The 21,729-nt window shown below is 45.1% G+C and overlaps 1 non-coding gene across 1 annotated transcript, besides 1 other annotated feature; it reads left to right on the top strand.

Moving 5' to 3' along the window:
- The first annotated feature begins 7,102 nt into the window (after positions 1-7,102).
- MIR4267 (microRNA 4267) lies at positions 7,103-7,184 on the top strand. Its single transcript, NR_036225.1, has one exon. It is a non-coding gene; the product is annotated as a microRNA 4267 (primary transcript).
- Positions 12,748-13,248: an enhancer, noted in NCBI's record as "H3K27ac hESC enhancer chr2:110821474-110821974 (GRCh37/hg19 assembly coordinates)". NCBI's record gives its function as "activates a minimal SCP1, AML or CMV promoter by ChIP-STARR-seq in primed H9 embryonic stem cells {active_cell/tissue: H9 hESC(primed)}" and the evidence as "EXISTENCE:reporter gene assay evidence [ECO:0000049][PMID:30033119]".

Below are 21,729 nucleotides of genomic sequence, written 5' to 3'. Positions count from 1 at the left end.
TGATGCTAACTCCAGGTAGATAGTATCAGAACTGAGTTAAATTATAGGACACCTAATTGGTGTTCCAAGAATTGGAGAAGTGGTTGGTGTGGGGAAAATGCCCGCACTTCTGGTATCAGAAGTGAAGCATTGAGAGCAGCAGTAGGAAGGAGACAGGATTCACATCTCAGAAACATGCTGTCACTTTTAGGAAGAAGGGAGCATGGGGAATGACTCTCTCAGGGTCAACTCCCACAAGCTACCTGACCCAGGCTCCAAATTTAGAGATCAGGGAAGCAGGAAGGAGAACATGAAGGAGGCCCCTTGTGCTTCTTTCTGGCTTTGCCAACTCAGGAAAGTCATGCCACTGCTGAAAGACTCAAATTTTTGTTCATAAATTGGGATGCGTAAGGATTCCTACACCGTATGTCAAGGTGTAGTTACATCAGGGTGGCTAATGCCATCCTGTCAAGGGGTTATTCCAAGGTTAGGTTAAGTCAAGGTGCAGTTAGGTTAGGTGTAATTACAACAAGGTGTAGCAACATCAAGGTGCATTCACTTCAAGGTTTAGATATGGCAAGAGGTAGTTATGTCAAGGCGCCATCATGTTAAGTTGTAGTTATGTCAAGGTGGGGGTTATGGACTGAATTGTGTCCCCGCCGCCAGCCCCCAAATTCATATGTTGAAGCCCTAACCCCCAATGCAACTGTATTTGGAGACAGAGTTTTTAGGAGACAATTAAGTTTAAGTGAGGTCATAATGATGGGACCCTCATTCAATAGGGCCAGTGTCCTTAAAAGAAAAGGAAGAGAACTCGCACTCTCTGCCATGTGAGGACACAGTGACAAGGCTGCCACCTGCAAGCCAGGGACAGAGCCCTCACCAGGAATGGAATCCCCTGGCACTTTGATCCTGGACTTCTAGCCTGCAGAACTGTGAGAAATAAAATGTTGTTGTTTAAGTCATCTGGTGTTTTGTTATGATGGCCCAAGCTGTCCAAGACGGTAAGGTTATGCCAAGGTGCAGGTGAGAGGTACATGTGCAAGTATGCCTGAAGTAGGTTTGAAAGCCTATGAAGGATCATTACTGATTTGCATCATCACACCTGGCAGGAACCTACCCGGTGACATTCCCTCAGCCATGAGAGGAAACAATCCTGCCGCTTTTACATTAAGATCGTGGAGCTATTACTCACTGCAGAGTTAAGGCCCTTTTTTTAAATTTTATTATTATTGTACTTTAAGTTTTAGGGTACATGTGCACAATGTGCAGGTTAGTTACATATGTATACATGTGCCATGCTGGTGTGCTGCACCCATTAACTCCTCATTTAGCATTAGGTATATCTCCTAATGCAATCCCTCCCCCTTCCCCCACCCCACAACAGTCCCCAGAGTGTGATGTTCCCCTTCCTGTGTCCATGTGTTCTCATTGTTCAGTTCCCACCTATGAGTGAGAATATGCAGTGTTTGGTTTTTTGTTCTTGTGATAGTTTACTGAGAATGATGATTTCCAATTTCATCCATGTCCCTACAAAGGACATGAACTCATCATTTTTCATGGTTGCATAGTATTCCATGGTGTATACATGCCACATTTTCTTAATCCAGTCTATCATTGTTGGACATTTGGATTGGTTCCAAGTCTTTGCTATTGTGAATAGAGCTGCAATAAACATACGTGTGCATGTGTCTTTATAGCAGCATGATTTATAGTCCTTTGGGTATATACTCAGTAATGGGATGGCTGGGTCAAATGGTATTTCTAGTTCTAGATCCCTGAGGAATCACCACACTGACTTCCACAATGGTTGAACTAGTTTACAGTCCCACCAACAGTGTAAAAGTGTTCCTATTTCTCCACATCCTCTCCAGCACCTGTTGTTTCCTGACTTTTTAATGATTGCCATTCTAACTGGTGTGAGATGATATCTCATTGCGGTTTTGACTTGCATTTCTCTGATGGCCAGTGATGGTGAGCATTTTTTCATGTGTCTTTTGGCTGCATAAATGTCTTCTTTTGAGAAGTGTCTGTTCATGTCCTTTGCCCACTTTTTGATGGGGTTGTTTGTTTTTTTCTTGTAAATTTGTTTGAGTTCTTTGTAGATTCTGGATATTAGCCCTTTGTCAGATGAGTAGGTTGCGAAAATTTTCTCCCATCTTGTAGGTCGCCTGTTCACTCTGATGGTAGTTTCTTTTGCTGTGCAGAAGCTCTTTAGTTTAATTAGATCCCATTTGTCAATTTTGGCTTTTGTTGCCATTGCTTTTGGTGTTTTAGACATGAAGTCCTTGCCCATGCCTATGTCCTGAATGGTAATGCCTAGGTTATCTTCTAGGGTTTTTATGGTTTTAGGTCTAACATTTAAGTCTTTAAACCATCTTGAATTAATTTTTGTATAAGGTGTAAGGAAGGGATCCAGTTTCAGCTTTCTACATATGGCTAGTCAGTTTTCCCAGCACCATTTATTAAATAGGGAATCCTTTCCCCATTGCTTGTTTTTCTCAGGTTTGTCAAAGATCAGATAGTTGTAGATATGTGGCGTTATTTCTGAGGGCTCTGTTCTATTCCATTGATCTATATCTCTGTTTTGGTACCAGTACCATGCTGTTTTGGTTACTGTAGCCTTGTAGTATAGTTTGAAGTCACGTAGCATGATGCCTCCAGCTTTGTTCTTTTGGCTTAGGATTGACTTGGCGATGCGGGCTCTTTTTTGGTTCCATATGAACTTTAAAGTAGTTTTTTCCAATTCTGTGAAGAAAGTCATTGGTAGCTTGATGGGGATGGCATTGAATCTATAAATTACCTTGGGCAGTATGGCCATTTTCACAATATTGATTCTTCCTACCCATGAGCATGGAATGTTCTTCCATTTGTTTGTATCCTCTTTTATTTCACTGAGCAGTGGTTTGTAGTTCTCCTTGAAGAGGTCCTTCACGTCCCTTGTAAGTTGGATTCCTAGGTATTTTATTCTCTTTGAAGCAATTGTGAATGGGAGTTTACTCATGATTTGGCTCTCTGTTTGTCTGTTATTGGTGTATAAGAATGCTTGTGATTTTTGTACATTGATTTTGTATCCTGAGACTTTGCTGAAGTTGCTTATCAGCTTAAGGAGATTTTGGACTGAGACAATGGGGTTTTCTAGATATACAATCATGTCATCTGCAAACAGGGACAACTTGACTTCCTCTTTTCCTAATTGAATACCCTTTATTTCCTTCTCCTGCCTAATTTCCCTGGCCAGAACTTCCACCCAGATTCATAAAGCAAGTCCTGAGTGGCCTACAAAGAGACTTAGCCTCCCACACAATAATAATGGGAGACTTTAACACCCCACTGTCAACATTAGACAGATCAATGAGACAGAAAGTTCACAAGGATACCCAGGAATTGAACTCAGCTCTGCACCAAGTGGACCTAATAGACATCTACAGAACTCTCCACCCCAAATCAACAGAATATACATTTTTTTCAGCACCACACCACACCTATTCCAAAATTGACCACATAGTTGGAAGTAAAGCTCTCCTCAGCAAATGTAAAAGAACAGAAATTATAACAAACTGTCTCTCAGACCACAGTGCAATCAAACTAGAACTCAGGATTAAGAATCTCACTCAAAACCGCTCAACTACATGGCAACTGAACAACCTGCTCCTGAATGACTACTGGGTAAGTAACGAAATGAAGGCAGAAATAAAGATGTTCTTTGAAACCAATGAGAACAAAGACACAACATACCAGAATCTCTGGGACACATTCAAAGCAGTGTGTAGAGGGAAATTTATAGCACTAAATGCCCACAAGAGAAAGCAGGAAAGATCCAAAATTGACACCCTAACTTCACAATTAAAAGAACTAGAAAAGCAAGAGCAAACACATTCAAAAGCTAGCAGAAGGCAAGAAATAACTAAAATCAGAGCAGAACTGAAGGAAATAGAGACACAACCCTTCAAAAAATTAATGAATCCAGGAGCTGGTTTTTTGAAAGGATCAACAAAATTGATAGACCACTAGCAAGACTAATAAAGAAGAAAAGAGAGAAGAATCAAATAGATGCAATAAAAAATGATAAAGGGGACATCACCACTGATCCCACAGAAATACAAACTACCATAAGAGAATACTACAAACACCTCTACGCAAATAAACTAGAAAATCTAGAAGAAACGGATAAATTCCTCGACACATACACCCTCCCAAGACTAAACCAGGAAGAAGTTGAATCTCTGAATAGACCAATAACAGGCTCTGAAATTGAGGCAATAATCAATAGCTTACCAACCAAAAAGAGTCCAGGACCAGACAGATTCACAGCCGAATTCTACCAGAGGTACAAAGAGGAACTGGTACCATTCCTTCTGAAACTATTCCAATCAATAGAAAAAGAGGGAATCCTCTCTAACTCATTTTATGAGGCCAGCATCATCCTGATACCAAAGGCGGGCAGAGACACAACCAAAAAAGAGAATTTTAGACCAATATCCTTGATGAACATTGATGCAAAAATCCTCGATAAAATACTGGCAAACCGAATCCAGCAGTACATCAAAAAGCTTATCCACCATGATCAAGTGGGCTTCGTCCCTGGGAAGCAAGGCTGGTTCAGTATACGCAAATCAATAAATGTAATCCAGCATACAAACAGAACCAAAGACAAAAACCATATTGAGATATGATTATCTCAATAGATGCAGAAAAGGCCTTTGACAAAATTCAACATCCCTTCATGTTAAAAACTCTCAATAAATTAGGTATTGATGGGACGTATCTCAAAATAATAAGAGCTGTCTACGACAAACCCACAGCCAATATCATACTGAATGGGCAAAAACTGGAAGCATTCCCTTTGAAAACTGGCACAAGACAGGGATGCCCTCTCTCACCACTCCTATTCAACATAGAGTTAAGGCCCTTTTTAAGAGAAAATAACTGGGGAGCCCGCTGGAGGCGGGGATCTGGCTGAGAGCTGGGTTCGGTTACTCGAATGCACCACTGGGTGGCGCCCGCGCTCCGCGCGAAGGCCGGGAGGGGCAGTCCTCGAGTGACATCAGGTGGGCAGAGCCGGGAGCCCGGACCGGCCCGTGCAAACTCTCAGGATCTTACCGGGAAGGCACCCTATGCAGGCGCAGGAGTGACACGGAGGTGCCTGGAAGAGGGGCTTCCACTTGAAGCCCCTTTTTGCTCAGTCGGGTCACTGGGCGCCCGCAGTGTCCCAGGGCACGCCTGCGCTAAAACGGGACACCGGCTCATGCTGGCGGCTCCCGGGGCAGCTGAGGGACCGTGGCTAAGGACATTGGGGTCCCAGGGCTACAGGGAAAGAATCGTGACTGTCCACACTTTGTTAAAAGCCCACCTGTTTCCTTCATCAGCCGCTGCTGTCTGGTGTGTATCCAGGTCTCTAGAAGCTTCCAGGGGCACCTTGACCTGCCCCAGCTCCTACCCTTCCTCTCCAGGGCCCTATAAGACAAATTTACACAGGTGTTTCTCTCACCCTGGACCCGATTATTTGGCCCCACCTGCTGCTGAAATTCTGCCGCTGGGTCCAAGGAGGGGCTGCCCCAGCGAGCACTGGCTCCCACCATCTGGGACACATGCCCGTCTCTCTGTGCCTCAGTTTACTTCTCCATGTACTGAGGGACACAAAGATCCGCTCCAAGGCCCTCCCAGGTCACTACCACCTCCTAGAGAGGGGCAGAGTGTGCCCCTGGGCCACTTTCGTGCAGTGAGAGGGCACATCGTGAGGCCCGAATCAAACCCAGGGCTCCTTCCTTTTATTTTTTATTTATTTATTTTTTCAGACAGGGTCTCACTCTGTTGCAGCGGCTGGTGTGCAGTGGCTAGATCATAGCTCACTGCAGCCTTGGCCTGTGAGGCTCAAGCGATCCTCCCACCTCAGCCTCCCAAGTAGTTGGGACTACAGGTGTGCACCACCCACCTTGCTAATTTTTCGTTTTTTGTGGAGACAGATTTGGCCATGTTGCCCAGGCTAGTCTCAAACTCCTGGGCTCAACCATCTGCCTGCCTTGGCCACTCAAAGTGCTGGGATTACAGGTGTCCGTGCCCTGTCCTGGGGTCCCTTCTGAACGAGGCTCCTTTGGTGTGGATTCAGGAGACACAGATGTGGGAGAAGCTGAGATCTTCCAGGAAGGACACAACCCTGGGAGCACGTGCCTGCTGAGACAGCCATGATGTTTGCTTTCAGCCAAAGCTGGAAGATTTAGTTCTGTTGCACACATGGCTGCTGAGCATCTGCTGGGTGCCTGTTCCTGGGCCAGGGCCTCCTGCTCTCCAGAACCTGGAAGGCTGGGAGCAGAATAAGACAGATCTAGAGGCCTCACGTCTTAGGGTGAGGGGTCACCGGCCCCAGCTGGAAGTGGAGGGGAGGGACTTACTAGAGGCCTCCTAGAAAGTGTGACCTCCCAAAAGTTACTAGAATGATTGCTGGTCAAGCACCTGGACCCTTCTGGTCTACGATCACCCTGGTGGAGCTCTGGAGGATGAAGGGCAGCCTGTGGGGAGAGTCCGCTGGGAACAGCATGAGGAAGGGCACCGGAACAGCAGCAGCCAGCTGGCTGGTGACTGGCGAGAGTCTGGGCCAAGGTCTGGCTCACAAGGATTGGGTGTTCCTGTGACTTCCCACAGGGAATGGGGAGCTCTGGAAGGGGGTAGGGTTTAAGCAGGGAGTGGCAGATCCTTGTGCCTGCACTGGCTACCGGGGAGGGTGACGACTGCAGGGAGGTGACCTGAGTCTCTTTGAGAGCTGTGTCCTTCTCAAGGACTTTGTGTACTTTGAATTCCCTAAGAACTAAACATTGCCATTTTGGGTCAACATCGTGATATATATTCTATCATTATACTTTTTATTAGGCTTAGTAACTATTATAATAGCAGTGTTCTCATGGAGCCTCGGAGGATCAAAGCCCTTGCACGGATGTTTTCTCCATGGCCATTGGGATGTCTACTTGTCAGCAGATTGGCAGATATTCGATGACACCCTCACAGTCCCCCAGGGAGTGATGACTTCTGGATGAGGTTGGCACTAGGGCTGCCATCTCAGAACCCAGAGTAGGCCCAGGGGTGGTATCTCCGAAGGAGCCGAGGATTCTCCGTGATGACTTGCAAACTCAGCAGGCTCCAGCTCGGTGGCACTGGGGGAAGGCTCCAGACCCCAGCCTCTGTCATCCCTGCATGGAGCCCACATCTCCAAGGAGGCTGGGAGATCCTGTTTGGGGGTCAATTTAAATGTGAAGGAGCAGAATACAGAGAGTTTGGGAACCCAAGGAGGGGACAAAAGACAGAATCAGGACCCAGTCTTAAATACGCTCAGATTGCTGGGCACCTCCTCATGACAGGCTGGGCCCTGGGTACTGGATGCTAGGATGAATGAGAAATGGCCTCTGCCCTTGAGGGGCTCACAGACACCAGAAAAGACAAACCAGGAGAGTCAGAAAAAGGAAGAGCAAGGTGCTGGGGAACTGAGCCCCGAACCCCATTTCCCACTCTTACTACCCATGCCCCCTGCATGTGACATGGCCAGAATTTGTCCCTGCCTTGTGCCTTTAACTGTGGGGAATCCTGGAATTTTCTAGAAATCCAATTTCACAGAATGAAAGTTTTTCTTTTTCAGAGGTGATCCACTAAAACTTTAACTTAATTTCATTTTATGCTTCTTTAAAATTCGTTGATGTAAATAACTTACAAATCAAAAAAAGCCAAATTTGGTTTTGGAAATTACAGCCTGCACAGTTCACACATATGTGTGCACACATGCACAGGCACACACACAAAAGGTGCTGCCCACCGTGGGAGCTCAGCCTGAACTCGCACATGTGGATACATGTGCTTGGGCTCAGACCCCAAGCAAAGGCCAGAAGAACAGCTGTCGCTCTGTGAGAATTGGCTGGAAGCTGCAGGGAACACCTGTAGGAGCTGTTGGGGAGCCCTCCTGCCTCTGGCCACCTGTGTTGGGGTAGGTCAGGTAAGGAGTGATGGAGAAAGGTGGAGCGATGGTGGACAGGACGGGCGCTTCTCCAAGCATAGCCTGCTGCTTTCTTACTGCTTCCCCTGGGCTCATTTCAAAGGTGCCTGCAGTAGCACAGCCCAGTTGGTCACTGGGTCCCATTTCCCTGGGATGAAGATTTGGGCCCAGCTCAGCTGAGGGAACACGGAGGGTGAGGGAAAGGACATGAAGTGGGACTCAGGATGTGCCAGGCACGTGACATCTGGTCCTTCCACCCCCCCACGGACCTGGGCAGGGTTCCTCACCCGCCTGGGCTCAGAGAGGTCAGGCTGCCAGCCCACAGCTCACAGGGTGGGTGACTGAGGAGGTTGCATTCTGGCTTAGATCTGACATGCCGAAGTGCCATGGCCTGTGCTACCAAGAGGAAGGTTCAGAGGAGCCAGGGCTCTTCCCCTGACCTCACAGGCTACTGCGTCCTCAGACAGCTTGTGTGACAAATGGGTAATATTTCCCATGCATTTGGGAAGAGGGCAAGATCAGCAAGATTTCCCCGAATAGCATCCACCTTGGGGAACCACTCTCTGCCAAAAAAAAAAAAAAAAAAAAAAAAAAAAAAAAAAAAATTGTATTGTATTCTATGCATTTCATGACATGTAAAAGGTTGGGAAGTAAATAAAATATAAGAAGGTTCTACTATGTGCCAAGGCTGCTTCTGTTTTTATTTTTTGGCTCCACTCCTGCCCAAGTGCAGTCACAACACTCAAGGCAGGTGGACTCCTGGGCCCACGGTGTCTGTGTTCTCAGCTCTGAATTAGGCCAGAGTATTCTGCAGCCCCACGTCGAACCACTTGCACAGCAAAAACCAGCCAGCCTCTTAGGCATCTCTTACTGGTGCAGCTTACATGAAACACTTGTCTTTCATTTCAGATGCAGAGTGGAAATAATACTGTAGGAATAAATTCATACTAAAGTGTGAATGGTATACATAGGCCATTTCTTCCTTTGGCAAGTATCTCTTGAGAGCCAGCTGGTTAGGAGTCAGAGACTTGTCCTGGGCCATTCACTCACCTTTTTGCCTTCTGTTGTGAGAATTAAATAAGGAAATGTGGACCAAGAGCCTGGCACAGTAGAACCTTCTTATATTTTACTACCCAATCTTTTTACACATCATGGAATGCATAGAAAATAATAATTTTTTTTTTTTGCACAATGGAATAAAGTACGGACTTAGTGAAAAAAATCATCACATTACCTTTCTGTATACATTTAACTATGATAAAAATAATTTTAAAGGTATTGGGAGGCATTAAAGGTGAAATTGATATGAAACATCAAAATAAAGGCTTTTTAAAAAACGTAATGAGAAACTTGGGCTTGCATTTATGTAAATACTATTTTGTGTAAGTCCATTTGCTTGAACCAGCTACAATTACTGATTAAGACTTTTAGATTATTCCTTAGGTGAGTGAAACTGCCAACAAGTTCTGCAGGCAACTGGGATAGCAACTGCCCTTCCCGGTAGGCACACACATGCCAATCTCAGAAGGATTTGCATGGGTTCAGGAAAATTTAGGTGTTAATGTCTCAGTGTTAAGAAGTCTGCACATTTGGAATTTTCTGCAGATAATACATTAGAGATTTGGGACCTAGACTCTGGTGTGTAATTGCATAGTTACTTTAGACTTGTGGTTTCAGGTTGAAATCTAAGTTAACAAACTGTTGGAACATTTAAGAGAATATAAAGTTCATCATATTTCAAATTTAACTTACTGATACAAAGGCTCATTTAAGAGACTGAAAACCAATTTATTGTCAGATCACTGACATAATTAAAAAGGAAAATGAGTATATTAAACTTATAAAGGCAGTTTAGAATGTTGGAAGATATCTCCTTAATTAAATTTGCAATTGCACCAAATGTTGGCAAGGTGTAGTGGTTCAAGCCTGTAATCCCAGAACTTTGAGAGGCCGAGGCAGGAGGATTGCTTGAGGCCAGGAGTTTGAGACCAGCTTGGGCAATATAGTGAGACCCCCATCTCTACAAAAAATTAAAAAATTAGCTGAGCATCATGGCACATGCCTATATTCCCATCTATTCTGGGAGCTGAGGTGGGAGGACTGCTTGAACCCAAGAAGTCAAGGCTGCAGTAAGCTGTGACTATACCACTGCACTCCAGCCTGGGTGGCAGTGAGACCCTGTCAGAAAAAAAAAAAAAGCAAATGATTTTCATCAAAGGCCTATTAAAAGTGATTGCTGGCTAAATATTAGTAGTAAACAATCCAAAAGTACAATTAAGAAAAACAATTTCATGTACATAACATCAAAAAGAAAAACATAGGAGTAAATTCAATTAAAAACTGCAAGATTTGTACACTGAAAACTACAAAACACTGTTGAAAGAAATTTAAAAACTCCTAAATAGATAGAAAGGAATCCATGGTTATGGATTGGAAAACCTAATATTAAGAATGCTATATTTCTCAAATTTATCTACAGAGGAATGCAATCCCTAGCAAACCCCAATGGGAAATGGCAATTTTGGAGAAATTCACGACCTGACCCTAAAATTCAAGTGGACATGCAAAGGACCCAGAATGGCCCAAATGATTTAGATCTTGAAAAAGAAGGACAAAAGTAGAGAGCTCACATTTCCTACTTTCAAAACTTAGTACAAAGCTACAGTAATCAATACAGTAAAAGTGGTATTAGCAAAAGTGTAGACATCACAACAACAGAATATAATTAAGAGTCCAGAAACAACTCGCCATATTCACAGTCAATTGATTTTTGACAAGGATGCTGTATTAATCTGTTTTCACACTGCTGATAAAGACATACCCAAGACTGGGTAAATTATAAAGAAAAAGAGGTTTAATTGACTCAGAGTTTCACGTGGATCATGGCGGAAGCAGAAAGGCACATATTACATTGGTGGCAGGCAAAAGAGAGAATGACAGCCAAGCGAGAGGGCCTTTGCTTTATAAAACCATCAGCTCTCGTGACACTTATTCACTACCATGAGAACAGTATGGGGGAAACCACCCCATGATTCAATCATCTCCCACTGGGTCCCTCCCACAACACGTGCAGATTACAGGAGCTACAATTCAAGATGCGATTTGGATGGGGACACAGCCAGACCATATCAGATGCAAGAACAATCCAATGGAGAAAGAATAGTCTTAGGCCAGGTGTGGTGGCTCATGCCTGTAATCCCAGCACTTTGGGAGGCCAAGGTGGGCAGATCACAAGGTCAGGAGATCGAGACCATCATGGCTAACACGGTGAAACCCCATCTCGACTAAAAATACAAAAAATTAGCCAGGCATGGTGGCGGGTGCCTGTAGTCCCAGCTACTCAGGAGGCTGAGGCAGGAGAATGGCGTGAACCTGGGAGGTGGAGCTTGCAGTGAGCAGAGATCGTGCCACTGCACTCCAGCCTGGGCGACAGAGCGAGACTCCGTCTCAAAAAAAAAAAAAAAAAAGAATAGTGTTTTCAGCAAATGGTGCTGGAACAACTGGATATCCACAAGCAAAAGAATGAAGGTGGACCCCTACTTCACTCCATATACAAAAACTAACTCAAAATGTATAAAAGACATAAAACGTAAGAGTTAAAACCACTAAACTCTTAGAAGAAAACACAGGAGTAAATGTCCATGATCTTGGATTAGGCGGAGGTTTCTTAGGTGTAATGCCAAAAGTATCAGCAACAGAAGAAAAAAATAAATTGGACCTTGCCTTAAAACACAGATGGCAGAGAAGAAAAAATATACTTCATCAAAATTAAAAACTTTTTTGCTTCAATGAGATCATCAAGAAAAGTGAAATGATAACCCATAAAATGGAGAAAAGCACGTATCTGATGAGGGATTTGTATCTAGAATACAGAAAGAACTCTTACAACTCAATAATAAAAAGACAAAAATTCCATTAAAAAGTAGATGAAGGTTCTGAATGGTGAATGTATATATATGTATATATATACACACACAAATAGCCAAGAGCCACATTCAAAAATATTGAACTTTGTTTGCCAGCAGGGAAATGAAAATTAACACAAAGAGATATCCCACACACCTATTAGAATGACTAAAATAAAAAAAGCTGATAACTAGCAATCGTGCTCCTGGGCACTTATTTATTTCAGAGAAACAAAAACTTACATTCACACAAAAACCTGTACACAAATGTTCATAGCAGCTTTATTTGTAATAGCCCCAGTCTAGAAACAACCCAAACGTCCTTTGACAGGTGTCTGGTTAAACACACTGTGGCACATCCATCCCATAGAATAGTACTCAATAACAGAGGAATGAACTCCTGATATATACACCTTGGACAAATTTTCACAGAGTATGCAGAGTTTAAAAATCTAATCCTAGGCTGGGCACGGTGGCTCACGCCTGTAATCCCAGCACTTTAGGAGGCCGAGGCAGGTGGATCACGAGGTCAGGAGACAGAGACCATCCTGGCTAACACTGTGAAACCCCGTCTCTACTAAAGACACCAAAAAAAAAAAAAAAAAAAAAAGCCTTCCCCCTCCCCCTCCCCCTCTCCCGTCTCCCTCTTTGCACGGTCTCCCTCTGATGCCGAGCCGAGGCTGGACTGTGCTGCCGCCATCTCGGCTCACTGCAACCTCCCTGCCTGATTCTCCTGCCTCAGCCTGCCGAGTGCCTGGGATTGCAGGCGCGCGCCGCCACGCCTGACTGGTTTTTGTATTTTTTGGTGGAGACGGGGTTTCGCCGTGTTGGCCGGACTGGTCTCCAGCTCCTGACCGCGAGTGATCCGCCAGCCTCGGCCTCCCGAGGTGCCGGGATTGCAGACGGAGTCTCCCTCACTCAGTGCTCAATGGTGCCCAGGCTGGAGTGCAGTGGCGTGATCTCGGCTCCCTACAACCTCCACCTCCCAGCCGCCTGCCTTGGCCTCCCAAAGTGCCGAGACTGCAGCCTCTGCCCGGCCGCCACCCCGTCTGGGAAGTGAGGAGCGTCTCTGCCTGGCCGCCCATCGTCTGGGATGTGAGGAGCCCCTCTGCCCGGCCGCCCAGTCTGGGAAGTGAGGAGTGCCTCTTCCTGGCCGCCATCCCATCTGGGAAGTGAGGAGCGTCTCTGCCCGGCCACCCGTCGTCTGAGATGTGGGGAGCGCCTCTGCCGGGCCGCCCATCGTCTGGGATGTGAGGAGAGCCTCTTCCCGGCCGCCATCCCGTCTAGGAAGCGAGGAGCGTCTCTAACCGGCCGCCCCGTCTGAGAAGTGAGGAGCCCCTCTGCCCGGCCGCCACCCCGTCTGGGAGGTGTGCCCAACAGCTCATTGAGAACGGGCCATGATGACGTTGGCGGTTTTGTCAAATAGAAAAAGGGGGAAATGGGAAAAGAAAGAGAGATCAGATTGTTACAGTGTCTGTGTAGAAAGAAGTAGACATAGGAGACTCCATTTTGTTCTGAGCTAAGAAAAATTCTTCTGCCTTGGGATGCTGTTAATCTGTAACCTTACCCCCAACCCCGTGCTCTCTGAAACATGTGCTGTGTCCACTCAGGGTTAAATGGATTAAGGGCGGTGCAAGATGTGCTTTGTTAAACAGATGCTTGAAGGCAGCAAGCTCCTTAAGAGTCATCACCACTCCCTAATCTCAAGTACCCAGGGACACAAACACTGCGGAAGGCCGCAGGGTCCTCTGCCTAGGAAAACCAGAGACCCTTGTTCACATGTTTATCTGCTGACCTTCCCTCCACTATTGTCCTATGACCCTGCCAAATCCCCCTCTCCGAGAAACACCCAAGAATGATCAATAAATACTAAAAAAATAAAATAAAATAAATAAATAAATAAATAAAAAATTAGCCGGGCACGGTGGCATGTGCCTGTAATCCCAGCTACTTAGGAGGCTGAGGCAGGAGAATCTCTTGAACCCAGGAGGAGGTGGAGGTTGCAGCGAGCTGAGATTGCACCATTGCACTCCAGCCTGGGTGACAGAATGAGACTCCATCTCAAAAAAAAAAAAAAATCTAGTCCTAAAATGTTATATATGGTGTGATTCAATTTAAATAGTACTCTTGAAGTGACAAAATTTTAGAAATAAAAAACAGATTAGTGGGCCACGGGTTAAGGAGAGGAGGAACAGGAGAGAAGTGGGTTTGGCCAAAAAGGGCAGTGTGAGGGATCCCTGTGGGGAAGGAGATGTTCTACATCTTTTCTTTTTCTTACCTTTTTTTTTTTTAAAGAAATGGGGATCTCACTGTGTTGCCCAGGCTGGAGTGCAGTGACTGCTCTAGCATTTAGAGTACCAGATGACAGAGGTGTTAGGTATCTGCATCCACATTGCTCCAGTCATCTAGGTGGGGCTCTTTTATACACCTTATCACCAAAGATAAAAGGACCAGAATTGTTTATAAACAAGGTCAGAGTGGAACTTGTGATTCCCAAGTTGGGGTTTGTTGCTGTGCCTTGTCTTCCGTCATAGCGGCATCTGTGCATCTTTATCCTCCACGCGTCTCTCTCAGTCCATAGGAACAGAACGGGTTGCTAAATCTGATAGAGAAGGCCTTTAGTTTTGTTTTGGCAGTTATAGGACTTAATTTTGTAACCTGGCCAAGTTAGTCCAGAATTCTAATCTATCCACATGTGATCTTTGGCATCTGCTGGCCTCATAAAGGAAGGAAGGAAGCTTCTTCTGACTTGGGAGCCCTTTGTAAGATCTGGTGATTTGGCAAATGTTTATATCATGAGAGTCAGATCAGGACTGTTTTTGACCTTTGTGAGATTTGTGACATTTGTGAATGTCAATGATGGAATCAAAGCACAGGGTTTGATTGCAATACCTCATTGGTGTGTTACCTAAGAAAAAGTCCAGCATAATTTCTGCTTTAATGTAGAAGGAAAAAATATTTTAATGACTTTATCAGAGCAGAGACAGTCCTGGAGCTCTCATAAAGATTTCTCTGTGTCTAATTGATTTACCTAAAGGACAATAGCATGACACTGTTTTCTCTTGTCATACGTCTATTTTCTGGACTTTATCTACCAGACAATTATAATGGCAGAAACACGTTCACGTTCTTTTGAATAACCTAGATGTTGCTTAACCAGTGATCAGATTGATTAATTATCATAGTGAGGGTTTGAAAGGCTAATGTAAAACGGTGCCAGGTCTGTGTCCAACCTGTTGGTAAGTGTTAATTAGAGCAAGATACAATTTGAAAAAAAGCATTTATAGTGGAGGGTTAGAGAGAGAATAGAATAGACTGAGAAAGTCCCTAGTCAGCTTTTTAACAGGCCATCAACAGACAGGAAAAAAAATTGTCAACCAAAAAAAGAAGAGGTTTTTTAAGAAAAAAAAAAAAAGTTTTTAAAGGTAGAGTAATACAGAGTCCTAAAACAGGGACAACATAGGTGGAAGTAAACTTTCTTGATCTGTGATCTTGGGAAAAGTGTCTACTTTGAAGAAATACCATCTAAAGGTCACCTGTAGGGGTGATTTTCCAATTCTCTTGAGAGTGCTTAGCAGGATCTGGCTTGGTGTGACTTGCATGAACGAGGAGTTGTTTTATTTTACTTTGATGGTAGTGTAAGTAGTCAGCAGTACTTCACATGGACCTTCCAGTGAGGTGACAGTGCTTGCCTTCTTTTAAAAACCTTTGTGTACACATCATCTCCTGGTCAAAAAGCATGGCAAGTCTTGTCAGTTGGTGGAGATCACACCCTTTTTATCTGTTGATGATAAGCTCCAAATATATTAGTGCCCGTATATAGCTAGTCATAGCATCAAATTGTTCACAGGTCCCCATAGTGCTCATTCAACCCAGGAATGGAAGATTTAGAGATGCCACCCAAACACTATTTCAAAAGGGGTAATCCATGTCTTTTATTCCGAGTATTCTAAATTTCTATAAGGGCCAGAGGTAATGCTTCTGGCCCTTTAATTCTGGTGTCTAGACAGACTTTTCTCAAATTCCATTTAATGTTTAAATTTTTATGCTCCACTTGCCCTGGGGATCGGGAATGGTATGGGTTATGAAATTTGGAGTACCCTAGAGTGGTTGCAGGCAAGTCGTTTATGCTGTAAAATGAGTTCCTGGCTGGGCGTGGTGGCTCACACCTGTAATCCCAGCACTTTGGGAGGCCAAGACAGGCAGATCACCTGAGGCCAGGAGTTCAAGACCAGCCTGGCCAACAGGGCGAAACCCCATCTCTACTAAAAATACAAAAATTAGCCAGGTGTGGTGGCAGGCACCTTTAACCCCTTCTACTTGGGAGGCTGAGGCAGGAGAATCACTTGAACCTAGGAGGCAGAGATTGCAGTGAGCCGAGATGGCACTGCTACACTCCAGCCTGGGAGACACAGCGAGGCTCCATCTCATTAAAAAAAAAAAAAAAAAAAAAAAGATTTCCTTGATCTGACAATCCATAAAAGGAAGCCAAAGCAATGAAGAATCTGTTATGAATGTTTGCACCACACTGTGGCATCAGAACAGGAAGTGGGACAGCATTCAGTCCATTCACTAAACATAGACAATAGCCAAACTGAGAATAGCCTAAAGCTGGAGGTCAACCTATGGAATCCACTTGGACTGCTGCAAGGGAAAGTGTGGGCCTTCCTGAAGAAGGGTGCTTTCCTCCAGAGCTTTGGTGAGATTTGCAAGTAATGCATTGGGAAATAATTTGGTCAGAAATTTTGTAAATCTTAGAGAAAAAACAATTATTGTTTAGTTCCTTAACTGACGCCCCTCTGCAAACCAACAGGTTAAAAGAAATGGGCCATGGAAGGTCTATCTTTGGAGCATATGCTTATTAATAATATTAGTCAGGGATAAAGGCAACTTAATAAATTGTGTGGAAAATGAATACAGGGGTTCATTTTGGGCTGTGTACTTGGCAGCCTTGTGTTCCCTATCATTCCCTGAAGATATAGTATTAGTCTCCTTAGTGTGGGCCAGAAAATGAGCAATAGCAATTTAATAGGAAGATGAATAGCATGTTTATTACAGGCAGCAATTACACATTCATTGGCAATAGGAGTGCCAGTGGAGGTTAAGAATCTACAGGCTTCCTAGATTTTGCTGGCAGCATGACAGACTCTGAAAGTGTATCTGGAGTCAGTATAAATAATGGCAGTTTTTATTTTTTGTCAGTGTGCAAGCTCTAGTAAAAGCTTTAAATTCAGCAGATTGGCCAGATTCAAGGCAAAGGGTATGTCTCTAGGGCTGCATGCAGGGAAACTATGGCATAGCCATTTATGCTGTTCCCCTTAAAATTTCATTTATGAGAGCCATCATAAAATAGAAATCTGGGTTTGTTACAGGTAGTTAGATAAGGCAACGAGTGGGGCAGGAGAGGGCTCTCCCCCCACCCACTAGAAATGTCAGGTGATTGTTCAATGATTATCACACTTCCTCTCTAACAGTGATAATTTGGCAGCCAGGGAGAGGCCATTTCTTCATAGTCTACACCTGCTGAAATCAAAATATTAATTGAGTGTAGGCCCCAGTGAGAAGAAACTTCCTGGGCATGCACATTAAGAGACAAAAATGGCAAAGTATCTTCTGGGTACACTCCACGAGAAAAGGAAGAAAGCCTCAGATGGGCATGTGTATAACCTCCTAAACACAACGAGCTGTTCAATTCCAAAGGGTACAGAGAGCACTGAGCATGCAGGAAGCTCGCCCTACGGGAAGAATCATGGGAGAGACACAAGCCTATAGAGTCCAAAGATCAATGTTAAATGCATTTTTTGCTCTCCTTTTCTCTCTTTGACTTTCAGGCGCCCACTAGGATCTCTTCCAAGGGTTCTTTCCTTTCTTTCCTGTTCTAAAGCCTGTTTAGTAAACTTCCATTCCTGCTGTGAAACTTGCCTTGGTCTCTTTTTCTGCTTTATGCCCCTCAGTCAAATTCTTTCTTCTGAGGAGGCAAGGACTGAAGTTGCTATGGACCCATACAGATATGCCACGGCTAACTCGGGATAACTCGGATCTCTGCCACTGCTAACATGTTGTCTAAAGGAGTGTCTGAGAGACCCTCTTGTGGCTTTGAAGCCATTTCTATAGCTGCTAGGCAATCCTGTGGAATGGGATGAAGATGTCCGTCATCAGGGAGGGTAGGAGCATAGCAGGATTTAAGGGATTTAAGGTGCTACGAAGATGTAAGATAATAGAGGGATTGATTAATAGGACTATTCATATGTAGTGTGTCTTCGTGTAGAGAGGTGCTGTGCCTTAGGAACTTGTAAGAGCAGAGAGAGTGTGGGGAACACAGAGGCAAATGGGGGAGCCTAATGTAAACGTGGTGGCTTTAGCAATTAGGGGGCAGCTGCTGACACTGCACGTGGGCATGGGAGCATGGCTGCTGCCACAGGATCCACTTGGCATGAGAAATATGCTACAGGGCATATCTGAGAGGCAAAAGGCTGGCCTAGAAAACTTGCAGTAATCCCATTATCTTCATGACAATATAGGTGAAAAGGTTTATCAAAATTAGGTAAGCCTGGGGTGGGGCGGGCAGGGGTGTAGACAATGCTAACTTCAAGGCTTCAAAGGAAGTTAATGCCTCTAAGGACCAGAGGATGGGCTCTTGACTGGCATGTGGGGAGAAAGCATACAGTGGTTTGGCAATAGCAGCAGAATTAGGAATTCAGTGCTAGCAACAGCTAGCTACCCCTAAAATTTGCCTAGCTGCTTTACCAAATTGGCTTTAAGGATCTGAGATAATATCAACGGGAGTCACAATATCCCTGATGCATGTATGTCCATGCTAATTGTCCCCCTCTAAATGTAAGGCAAAGAGAAAGCCAGAGGCAATTTCTGCCCATTGTGGAAGCTCAGGCCTATCACAGAAATACAGATGTCCAGGAGGGATAGGGAGAGCCAGAGATTTGAGAGAGCAAGAGAGAAGGGGGAAATGCCCCAGGACTGAGGCTAGGGAGAGAGGCAAGGAGCACTGTGGTCATGATGGCTCCCTCCAGTCTTTCTGGGTGTGCCCCAGGGGTTGAAAAGAAGCCCAACCCCTCAGCACCAGTGAGAGACAGGACTAGCTGGATTTCCTAGGCCAACTAAGAATTCCTAAGCCTAGCTGGGGAAGGTGACTACACCCACCTTTAAACATGGGGCTTGTAACTCAGTTCACACCCAACCAATCAGGTAGTAAAGAGAGCTCACTAAAATACCACTTAGGCTAAAAGCAGGAGGTAAAGAAATAATCAAATCATTTATTGCCTGAGAGCACAGCGGGAGGGACAATGATCAGGATATAAACCCAGGCATTCAGGCCGGTGGCGGCAACCCCCTTTGGGTCCTCTCCCCTTCTATGGGAGCTCTGTCTTCACTCTATTAAATCTTGCAACTGCACACTCTTCTGGTCTGTGTTTGTTCCTGCTTGAGCTGAGCTTTCGCTCACCGTCGGCCACTGCGGATCGTCCCCATTGCAGACCCACCATTGACTTCCACCCCTGTCGATCTGGCAGGGTGTTCGCTGCGCTTCTGGTCCAGTGAGGCGCCCACTGCCGCTCCCGATGCTGATCGTCGCCATTGCAGACCCACTGTTGACTTCCACCCCTGTCGATCTGGCAGGGTGTTTGCTGCGCTTCTGATCCAGTGAGGCGCCCACTGCTGCTCCCGATTGGGCTAGAGGCTCACTGTTGTTCCTGCACAGCTAAGTGCCCGGATTCGTTCTAATCAAGCTGAATACTACTCGCTGGGTTCCATGGTTCTCTGCCCTGACCCATGGCTTCTAATAGAGCTACAACACTCACCGCATGGCCCAAGGTTCCATTCCTTGGAATCCGTGAGGCCAAGAACCCCAGGTCAGAGAACAAAAGGCTTGCCGCCATCTTGGGAGCGGCCTGCCGCCATCTTGGGAGCTCTAAAATCAAAGACCAGCCTGTAACACCAGCATTCCCAGCCTGACAAAGATCCCAGGTCCAGACTGGACACCCACCCTTAGAGCCTCCAGACCAGAAGAGGCCACGTGCTTAAGATGGCTGATGTATCTGCAGAGAGAAGAAGGGCCTCCCCGAGGCTTTGGTGCAACAAAAGAACTGAGAGAAGAACTTTTATCTGAAGAATGTGAGTTTTTTAAAATTATCAGGCCAAAAGGGACATTAAAATGAGAGAGCAATCACCTCTGGCGTTCCCCTTGAGCTACGTGTTCACCCCTTGAAACTTCTTGCTGTTGCCACGATAAAGGGGACCAGCTCCTCCACGTGGACCTGCGGGTGTTTCTCATCAGGTGGAACAAGAGACTGAGAAAAGAAATAAGAGACAGAGACAAAGTATAGAGAAAGAAAAGCGGGCCCAGGGGACCGGCGCACAGCATACGGAGGACCCGCACCAGCACTGGTCTCTGAGTTCCCTCAGTATTTATTGATCATTATCTCTACCATCTTGGAGAGGGGGATGCGGCAGGACAATAGGGTAATAGTGGGGAGATGGTCAGCAGGAAAACATGTGAACAAAGGTCTCTGTGTCAGAAACAAGGTTAAGAAAGGTGCTGTGCCTTGATGTGCACATACATAAACATCTCGGTGCATTAAAGAGCAGTATTGCCACCAGCATGTCTCACCTCCAGCCGTAAGGTGGTTTTCTCCTATCTCAGTAAATGGAACTTACAATCGGGTTTTACACTGAGACATTCCATTGCCCAGGGACGAGCAGGAGACAGATGCCTTCCTCTTATCTCAACTGCAAAGAGGCCTTCCTCTTTTACTAATCCTCCTCAGCACAGACCCTTTACGGGTGTCGGGCTGGGGGACGGTCAGGTCTTTCCCTTCCCACGAGGCCATATCTCAGGCTATCACATGGGGAGAAACCTTGGACAATACCTGGCTTTCCTAGGCAGAGGTCCCTGCGGCCTTCCTCAGTGTACTGTGTCCCTGGGTACTTGAGATTAGTGAGTGGTGATGACTTTTAACAAGCATACTGCCTTCAAGCACTTGTTTAACAAAGCACATCCTGCATAGCCCTAAATCCATTAAACCTTGAGTCAACACAGCACATGCCTCTGCGAGCACAGGGTTGGCGCTAGGGTTACAGATTAACAGCATCTCAAGGCAGAAGAATTTTTCTTAGTACAGAACGAAATGGAGTCTCTTATGTCTACTTCTTTCTACACAGACACAGTAACAGTCTGATCTCTCTTTCTTTTTCCCCACACCACGAGTAGTTGTAAATTAGCCTAATAATACCATGCCAGACACTGCAACCACGTGCTATAGCTTCACAATATATAGCAAATCACTAATCCGTGTTATTTCTATAATCCAGTGAGAATTCCTAACAAACAGCTTTTATCAGCCACTTCCTGTCCCTCTTTTTTCCTTTAAAAACCCACTAGTAACTGCTGCTCATTGAAATGCATATTCGGGGCAACTTGAATCTATACTCCAGTATAGCAGTCCTCAAGCTTGGCCCAAATAAACGGTCTTCTTATGTGTGTTTTGCCTTTTAGGTTGATCCAACTATGGGGACTTGGCCATAAAAATGACTTGAAACACACAAATGTCTGAGGTTAGGTTTTTTTTTTTTTTTTTTTTTTTTAAACCAGTGCAGCAGGATGGAGTTGAATGGCAAAATTAGAGTGATTTCATAAAGCAAAATATGTCAGATTTTTTTGCTCTCCTGAGTACATGGTTCACACCCTATTGTTAGGAATAACGCTCAAAATCCTAAAGAAATTGAACACTCGAACAAAGGATTCTTAGCAAAGCAATTTTACCTCCGTGCAGAGGGGTGCCTCCTTGGCCAGTTGCCATGGCAGCACACCTGAACAAAGGGCACGAGAGCCTTTATTCCTGATGCAAGTCCTGC

This window comes from Homo sapiens, chromosome 2 (genome assembly GCF_000001405.40).
Source record: "Homo sapiens chromosome 2, GRCh38.p14 Primary Assembly".
Taxonomy (NCBI): domain Eukaryota; kingdom Metazoa; phylum Chordata; class Mammalia; order Primates; family Hominidae; genus Homo; species Homo sapiens.
This window is presented reverse-complemented; position numbering and strand designations above follow the sequence as displayed.